We start from the raw sequence: 10,068 nt of genomic DNA, 5'->3' as shown, positions 1-10,068 counted from the left end.
TGTTAGATTACTTTTTGTTTACCAACGATAGTGCATTCACAAATTTACAAATGGAAGAAACAATATGGGGAGAGTTATGTAATATTTTTTCAGTTCTCTTTTTTAATAACTGAAGTATAAAGTTTTGTAGGAGGTAGGAAATAGAGTGTTATAACCAGGCACCATATTGATGAGAAAATATGCAATTAGTGAATGTGGTCATTTTAAAAGCTAGTCATTTTAAATTGAAGACTGATGGAGAAAAGAATTTTCCTAGCCAGAAATATAAATCTTTCTCTGCTCTTTACTTCTCAAGTTTTCATTTCTCAAATAAAGGATCAAAAATTTCAATGTCAAATGGGGAGTTTCTTAATTCTGTATATATAATTTCATATCTATGCACAGTAGTTCCTTTAAAACCTATAATCATGAATTCTGTATAATTTGGAGAACACTAGGAAATTATGGCAGTAAGAACACTTGATTAATGATTTTGCTATTCACAGAATAAATAATATATGAAACGGACTTGTAAAAATTGGATTTTATTGTAGTTAAATTGAATGTATGCAATGCTGGGAAAACATTATTGGTGGTAAAAATAATTAATAACCTATTGCCCTCAATGAAAATCACACTTATCAATAAAATGTGTAATGTTAATAATAATGATAAAAATTTAATATCACTTGGAATTTTTTTGACAAATTCCTAAGGCAATATTATGACTTCTCAGTATGTATAATAACACAGCTTATCTTTAATTGATTAGCCTACAATTGTCAAATACAATCTTTCATTGGATATTTCCACAGGATGCTTTGTCATGAATAAAAACATTATGTAGGTTGTGGCAGCAAATGTCATGTAAAGGACAAAACATTGGGATATTCTCAAGAGAGTCCAGATGGTTCTCTCAAAAGGATTCCTAGGACACCATCAACGTGGTAAACATGCCACAGTCTAGGAACTCCAAACTCATTCTGACAGGTTCCAAATACTGATTTCCTGGTACACACATGAAGTTATCTCCAGAGAAAGATTTGCATTCACCTCATGGAAAAGAAATGTAATTAAACAGAGCCTCCCTGTTTTGATGCACATTAGATCTAAAAGGAGGCCTGATTTTCCCATAATCACTCATCTGAATGAAGAGACTTACAGCTCCTTCCTGCCCCACCCTGTTAAAGTTTAAAGCACATGGTTGTTCTACACATAAGGAATATATGAGGGGGTTGAGCTCTTTATTATTTCAGCCTTCATTAATGTTAACCAAAATGCGCCTTTTTGCATTCTCTATATCTTCACCAACTCCCACAACCTGATATAACGCCTGGCATTTTCGTGATAACCATTTGTCAAAAAGAATATAATATCAGGCTTATCTTTCCAAGTCTTGGTCTTCACACATTCTACTCATGTTTGTAGAAAATGCTTTTTCCTGTCTAGGATAAAATTTCTTTTTGGAAGTCATTCATGCATACTCTTCAGTTCTCAAGCCTCATTTTAACAAGAAATTATTTCCTGGCCTATGAATAGCTTTATTCCTCCAGTGCTAGTTTTGTAACAATATGTATTTTATAACACTCCGTACAAGTTGGGGTAAGAAATTGTCACATTTTCTGTTTTCTAAATAAGTATAAGCATCACGGGGTCTGTTTCTCTCTTTCTGTGGATCCAGAGCCGTGCATACAGTAAGGATTCAATAAATATTTGTGGGAAAAATGAATAGGGTTGAAGAGGTAGCCAATAATTGCAAATTTCATTGAAGAGGCTGTAACAATTACCTGCATGATCTCAGTCCTACCTTCTTTTAACCAAACATTCTGTCACTTTTTAAATTTACTATTCTCCTCCTACTTTATGCAAGTTAACAGGTTGTAAGCTATAAGTTTATGGCTTGAAATTTTGACATGAATACAAAAACACAAGCTTAAGAAATCTGTGATATGATATAGTAAATTAATATTTATGGATATAATTATGATTTGATCTACACTAAACTTGTTACTTTCAATTAGGCTATGAAAACAATACAAATATGATTTTGAAGTATTTACTCAATGGAACATTTTTAAGTTTATTCTGTAAATCGAAGTTAAGGCTATTTTGAGTTCAAAATAAATTTTTATGATATTTGCTTCTTAATTACTTTTTCTTCTCTTTTTGACTTATGTTTAATGACATTTTTGTTTTAGAAAAAGAATGGGAAAAAACTCAACAGGATCCACAACTAAATTCTATTAAGTTAAATCCCATATCTAACAGCAAAAGCCATTATTAATTTTCTTTTAAAAACCTATTTTGTCAGGTTTAAATATCTGTAAAATAAGATTTTTGTGATATTATCACTAAGTTCTGAGCTCTGATTGAATTCTGTAGTGGATAGTTGGCTTCCATGGTTTTGCATTTGTATTTGTTTTTAATTTTGTTTTGATAGGTTATCCAGAATAAATGAATGGAAGAAAACATTTGATAGATACAGAGTCTTCGTTCTCATTTTCAAACTTGAACGCATTTGCTTTATTTAAAATAGTGTTTGTAGAGGCAAGTAATATAAAATAAAAAATGAAAAAAGATATATGCAATGGCTTTATAGATCTGTGCCAGATTCTGTTTCACTATTAAAGTTGTTTATAATATTATTAAGATAAATAAATGATAGAGTCAGCTTGAAGTCCTAATGGACTAACCATTTTGGACTATCCTTCCACTCATAAACAATTAGAAAACTGATAAAAAGCATATGAAAAACAACTTCATTTATGTTAGACAATCGATAGCATAGAACTATGAATCCTATGGGAAGGAAAAACATAAAATGAAACACACAAAAATTTCTCAGCTTTAGGCCTGTACACACTTACAATGTTGCAATGCAGGAAGTTAAAAGTCCAAGAATATCCTGGTGGTCCCACTGAAATGAAGAAACAGAGATCAGAGTTGAGGAGGCTAAAGTTGCTAGACTTTGTAAGGCAGAGTACTAGAGAAGAGGAGGTCCAGAAATTGAAATAAGTAATTCTTTCATTGTTTATCTCAATAATAGCCTATGCATGCACAGGAAAAGACTCTGCAAGTTTTGAGTGAGAAATGGTATCGGGGAGCTCTGAGGTGAACAGACATTATAGAAGTTGCAAAATGCTGGGAGTTGTTTGGTTTCCCAGGAACCAGCATGGAGTGACATTAGTGACCTTTCTGATATTCAGCTGAAACCTCAGAAAGGTGAACACCAATCCTTTAGTGATACACTGGATCTGGTTTAACAGATTAAAGCCAAACTTTGAAGAGTTTTTTTCTCATTAAAATGTAGAAAGTTGCAAGAAAACATCATTCCATCTCTAATGGCAAAATAAATTGTTAATCTGTGAAATCAAAACTATTATTGACCTCTTCATAATGCTGAGGTTGCAAGGCAACTAGGTAAACTAAATTCCAAATAGTCACAAGACTCTGAGAAGAGAGCTGGAAACCAGAACACAGTGAAAGGCAAATGTTAAAATAACGCATTTTTTTATCAGAAGTGAAGAATTTCTTCAATGGGTTTATTACAAGACCAGATACAGAAGATGAAAAAATGAGCAAACTTCACTATAAATTACTAGAAATGGTCAAAATGAAAATGAAGAAGAGAAAATAAGTTAAAGATACATAATAAAGGACCCAAAGGCTTTGAGAAGTAATAAATCCTCTACATGTAACTAGAATCCTAGGAGGCAAAGGGGGAAGAACAGAGTAGAAGGAATATTTGAAAAAAGAATGGCTCATTATTTTCCGAAATTACTGAATGATTCCAAATCACAGATGTGTAAAACTCAGAAAACATAGAAAACAATGAACACAGAGAAAAAATATATCTAGGCCCATCAAATTCCTACAGCTAAAAACCAAGAAGAAAAGAGAAAAATATATTGAAATTAAGAAAACATAAAAAATCACAGTAAAATTGTAGTAATAACAATAACAGAAGATTGTACAGCAAAAATTATAAAGTATAAAAAAACAGAAAACCTGTCAACACAAAATCTTATAGCCTAGAAAATCAATTTTTTTAAATTTAGGTAAAATAATTTTTTAAATACAAAGAGAAATGATGAGAGAATTCATTGTCGGTAGATCTGCCCTATGAAAAATACTTTAATATAACAGTTTTCCAGTTTATGAAACATATTGCCAGATAGATATTTGGGTTTACACAAGGACATGGAGAATATTGGATGTATATATAAGCATTTTCCCTGTTTTTTTATTATTTTAAAATATGAGTCTATGTAAAGTTAAAAAAATATATTTTGGGGTTTATAGCATATGCAGAATGAAAATTGTATAACTACCATTACACAGAACTGGGAAGAGAAAATGGGAGCATAGAGTTGCAATTAAATGACATAATATTATTAGAATGCAAATTGTTATAATTAAACTTGTATATTGTAAATTCTAATACAATTAATAAAAATATATATAATGTAGTTAAACTACCAAGACAAGGCTGAAGATAAAATGGAATCATAAAAAAATCAACTATTCTAAAAGAAGGCAGGCAAAACATTAAGGAGAAGGACTCAAGAATATATAAGATAATAAAATAACAAAAATAAGACAGGCTTAAGTCCAAACAAAGCAACAAATTACATTAAAAGTAAGTGGTCTAATGACTCCCATTAAAAAAAGAGATTATCATAATAAAATTAAAAAACAAACAATGCCACACCCTACACTGCCAATAGAATCCCATTTTAAATCAAAGGAAAAAGGGTAGTTAAAAATGAACGGATAAAAAATTGCATACCCTAAAAATTCTCATCAAAAGAAAATTTGAAAGATTATATTTATATTACGTAAGTATACTTAGCAAAAATAAACATTACCGTGAAAAAAATGAGCATTTACCAATAAATCCTATCCAACATTTAAGAAATAAGCAATATTAATGTTTCCACAACTCTTTGATAACATGAGAGAATACCTTTAAAATTGTTGTATGAGAACAACATTGTAATTATATGAGAAGATTATCATGATATTACAAGAAATAAAATTAAGGACACATACAAATCATAAACATTCACCTCAAAACCTTCAATAAAATATTAGCAAGTAAAATCTGGTACTATATAGAATTATAATATGAAATGTATCCCCAAAATACTACATGAGTTTAACATCCAAAAATCAATTAACGTAAACCACTTCCTTTACTTATTAAAGGCTAAAACTTATATGCTCATTAATAAGATGCAGAAAAACAGTTAATATATTCAATATCCATTCATTATTAAAAACTTTCTATAAACTAGGTATAGAAAGAAACTTTCTCAAACAGATAAAATGAATTTACAATAAAACCTAATGCTAGCAATATTGTGGCAGACAAACCTTACAATGATCCCCATTGCTCCTTACTCGCTGATGTGTATGCTGTTGTACAATCCTCTCCCACAGAGTATGAGTGGGACATGAGACTTTCTTATAACCAATAAAATATGGCAAAGGTGACGTAATGTCACTCTTAGTAGGTTAAATCATGTACCCTATCTTATAATTTAGCAGTCAAAGAATGTCCTTGCATGTTTGATGTGATAAGCAGACAATAAAGAAATCTACTTGGCTTGAAACTACAGTTGCCTCTAGGACATGAAGATGACCTTCAGCCAACAGCCAACAAGACTTTGAAGCTTTCATTCACGTATTCACAAGGAAATGAATTCTGCCAACTACTTGAATTAACTTGGAAGTAGATTCTTCCTCAATGGTGCCTCCAGATGAGAATACAGTGGGCCTGGCAACTTGAGTTCAGCCTGACCCTGTACAGAACACTGATTTACCCATGCCCAGATTTATCTGATCAACAGAAACTATGAGGTAATAACAGTGTATTAAGTTAGCCTGATGATTTTTTACTAATTTGTTGCACAAAAGTAGAAAACTAATACAATTATATTTAGCAGAGAGAGGGAGAAATACAATCCACCCTAAGGCTCAGAACACAGCGAGAATGTATAGGTCCTAAACATTGCAAATGGCTAGTAAAATAAATAGAAACCATACATATAGGAGAGAATGAAATAAAAGTAGTTATTTATATAAAGTATGATTATATAGTATGGGATCCAAGGATTTATTGTTTAAATTTCTATTAAAACCTGTGTAATGTTATGGTCAACAGGAATTGCATAGTTTCACTTTGAATAAACTAAACACGTTCATTAAGTGATGTAGCTTTAAATTGAGAGCATGTATTTAATAAAAACTTAACACACTATAGGGAAACATGTGTGTTCTAAATTTTAAAATATTTGTAATTTATTAGCTCATGTAATTATTACATGTAGGGCTTAGAAAATTCAGAAAAAAAAGCTAGCCTAAGAACATATATTTGAGAAATCAAGTTATGTAATTAATTTTTACAATTAGGATTGTTGGACAAATCTAATAAAGTCATATAGATTTAATGAAACCATACATGTGAAGAATCTTTATAAGTTAAATAATCTGAGTTTAACTTTATTCTTAAGAAATTTTAAGTTTTGGACACAATTTAAAGTTCAACACAACGATTTATCAATTCTGAAAAGTAATTGGAAATCATCAACAGAGAAACCCGTGACAGCCTACCTAGGAGATATCTAACAGTCCTGTTGGAAGTATGACCAGAAGTTTGAGAAAACAATTTTAGTTGCTATTTTGATTTCTTTTTAAAATCTGATTCCTACATTTCTTTATAAAAAGCTGTTTCTTCATTCTGATTTTGATTTATTTTGGTATTTGTAAACATGCTAATTTTTAGTTTGCAGATTTTAAAAAAAATTTCATGTTACTCTGCTTTGTCACTAAGCATAATGATAGAATTGCTAAAAATTGAAAGGATAATAAAATAATAAAAATGAAAATTTTTAATAAGTTAAATTTTTGGCTCTTTACCTTTTCTTGCTTTTCATGTGGTATGTACGCTAAAAAGTAACCAAAATAATTGATAACAAGAGTCAGTGAGTTATACAATCAACTAAATTAAAATCTAGCTACTAAATAATCAAGAGAAAAAATTATATTATTGCCAATACATACTACAAATTGCAGGATAGTATTTGCCTTGCAAAATTAGTCATCACATTTTACTGTTAATGTTCTAATTAAAATTTGCACATAGGCCTCAGTATACGTTTACGTGTAGCTATCAAAATAAATATTTATTCCTTTTTTGTATCAATCACTTATCATAATCTCCCTTCTCCCCCACAAATAAAAGACCATGTATATAGGAGATTCACAAGCATAAATAAATGAGAAACATTTGTTTTCTTAAAAACTTTACCTTTAGCAAACTTTAATCAAAATGTCTTTTGTAATATATTTTGTGGTTTGCATCCGAAATGCACATTGAAATGAGATTAACTTGTTATGATATCATTGTCATTTCAGAGCATAGAAATGCACAATTAGCATCACCATTAGTTCCACAAAGTACTTTCTTCAGATTAAGAGTCAGCAAATTATTGTAAACAACATGATTTAATTCATTGGCAGTGATATTTTTGGCAGCTCAGTCACTGTTAGAGTTGTGTTAGAATTATTATTTTTTATTAGGAGACTCGATGAAATAGATGTGAGAAAACAACTGTGAAATTATAATCTGCATAATAAGTAATACTGAAGAAGTTATTCTTGTTTCCATGTGTATTTCAAAATACAAAGATAAATTTAACTTCCAACCATTTCTCATGTTTTTCTGTACTAACTAGCGATACCAAATGTTTATTTGTGACAGGAATACAGGTCAAGAACATGTGTAATCCAGATACATATAAAAGCAAAATAGATGACATAATAAAATACAGTTTTTGTATTAGAGCTCAACTGCTATTCGAGTAAACTTTCTAGATATTTAACAATATGTCCAATTAAATCTTCTTCTAGCCTTGGATATTTTTGGTTTTGGTATATAATTTGACTATTCACTAGAATTGTTCTCTAAAGTTGACAGGTTATGAGTTTTCAAAAACTCTCTAGTTTAATTTTGATTCTGCCAAGTTAGAATTGTATTAAAATGTTATAAACCATAAGCTGTTGAACAGATAAATTATAAAAATATAATTAAAATGTAAATATGTCCAGTAAAAGCAATGAGTAGTCTTGCAGAAATGGAAAAATGTTCTGATGTTTAAATTTTAAAATAATTTTAGTATTAAGGGAACTCTATAGAAACATTGGCTAAAAAATATAAACATGCATGTATTATATTTTAAATAATAGGGAAGCAATTAATTCTAAATAAATAGAGTGAAGATCATTTCATATTTAACCTTTTAGTTTTAATGTGTATGGGTAAATTCAATTAATAATATTAATGTAAATATGTTTATATTTGAGTCTTTTTTGACAAATACATTTTGAATAGTACAGTCACTTGAAATAAAACTGTCAAAAATATGCAAATATTTATTGAATCCATGCAATGAAATATAAGTAAGACTTTTTCCATGCTACACAGGGACTTCAAATACGTGACAATAGAGACAAATGAATGAGGAAAAGAAATACAAAAATATACCTTTTATCATGAGGATTATTCTTTCCTGAAGGTGAGAAACATGGAGGATGAAATACTGTCAGAGACATGACATCACTAATTGTCCTTTGTCCCTCCAGCAGGTATTATAACTAGTTTTTTCTTAGGAGCTAGTATTTTTCAACATTCTGTTTAAATGGAATTCCACAACTTGTCATAAATTCATCCGGAAAGACAATGCAATTTTTTAGAATATAAGTTCTGTATTGAGCCAACAATTAAACTTTGCCAGTTTATCAGATTTACTTTGCTCAGATAGTGCCATTAGCATCTGGCTGCTAATTGTCAGGCCTCTGAGCCCAAGCTAAGCCATCATATCCCCTGTGACCTGCATATATACATCCAGATGGCCTGAAACAACTAAACATCCACAAAATAAGTGAAAATAGCCTTAACTGATGACATTCCACCATTGTGATTTGTTTCTGCCCCACCCTAACTGATCAATGTACTTTGTAATTTCCCTCCCTTAAGAAGGTTCTTTGTAATTCTCCCCACCCTTGAGAATGTATATTGTGAGATCCACCACCTGCCAGCAAAACATTGCTCCTAACTCCACCGCCTGTCCCAAAACCTGTAAGAACTAATGATAATCCCACCACCCTTCGCTGACTCCTTTTTCGGACTCAGCCCACCTGCACCCAGGTGAAATAAACAGCCTTGCTGTTCACACAAATCCTGTTGGTGGACTTTCTTCACAAGGACGCGTGAGACATTTGGTGCAGAAGACCTGGGTCAGAGGGACTCCTTCGGGAGACCAGTCTCCTGTCCTCATCCTCACTCCGTGAAGAGATCCACCTATGACTTTGGGTCCTCAGACCAACCAGCCCAAGGAACATCTCACCAATTTCAAATTGGGTAAGCGGTCTTTTCACTCTCTTCTCCAGGCTCTCTCGCTACCCTTCAATCTCCCTGTCCTTCCAATTCCTGTTCTTTTTCCTCTCTAGTAGAGACAAAGGAGACACATTTTATCAGTGGACCCAAAACTCCGGCACAGGTCACGGACTCAGAAAGACAGCCTTCCCTTGGTGTTTAATCATTGTGGGGATGCCTGCCTGATTATTCACTCACATTCCATTGGTGTCTGATCACCACGGGGACGCCTGCCTTGGTCATTCACTCACATTCCCATGGTGGTAAGTCAATTGCGCGGACGCCTGCTTTGGCTGCTCACCCACATTGCAGTCCAGGGCTACTCCCCACCCCACTTCTCCGTGTCTCTAACCTTCTCTTTAAACTTGCCTCCTTCACTATGGGCAACCTTCCACCCTCCATTCCTCCTTCTTCTCCCTTAGCCTGTGTTCTCAAGAAATTAAAACCTCTCCAACTCTCTCCTGACCCAAAATCTAAGCGTCTTATTTTCTTCTGCAATACTGTTTGGCCCCAGTACAAACTCGACAGTAGTTCCAAGTGGCCAGAGAATGGCACTTTCGATTTGTCTATCCTACATGATCTAGATAATTTTTATTGAAAAATGGGCAAATGATCTGAGGTGCCTGACATCCAGGCCTTCTTTTACGCAT

General features: G+C 32.1%; 1 annotated feature.

Annotated features, from left to right (window-relative positions):
- Positions 8,596-9,795: an enhancer, noted in NCBI's record as "CDK7 strongly-dependent group 2 enhancer chr4:35022911-35024110 (GRCh37/hg19 assembly coordinates)". NCBI's record gives its function as "activates an origin of replication core promoter dependent on BRD2, BRD4, P300/CBP, MED14 and CDK7 cofactors, with strong dependence on CDK7, by STARR-seq in HCT116 cells {active_cell/tissue: HCT116}" and the evidence as "EXISTENCE:reporter gene assay evidence [ECO:0000049][PMID:35650434]".

Source organism: Homo sapiens, chromosome 4 (assembly GCF_000001405.40).
Source record: "Homo sapiens chromosome 4, GRCh38.p14 Primary Assembly".
NCBI lineage: Eukaryota > Metazoa > Chordata > Mammalia > Primates > Hominidae > Homo > Homo sapiens.
Note: the sequence above shows the minus strand (reverse complement) of the source record. Positions and strands in the feature narration are given on the sequence as shown.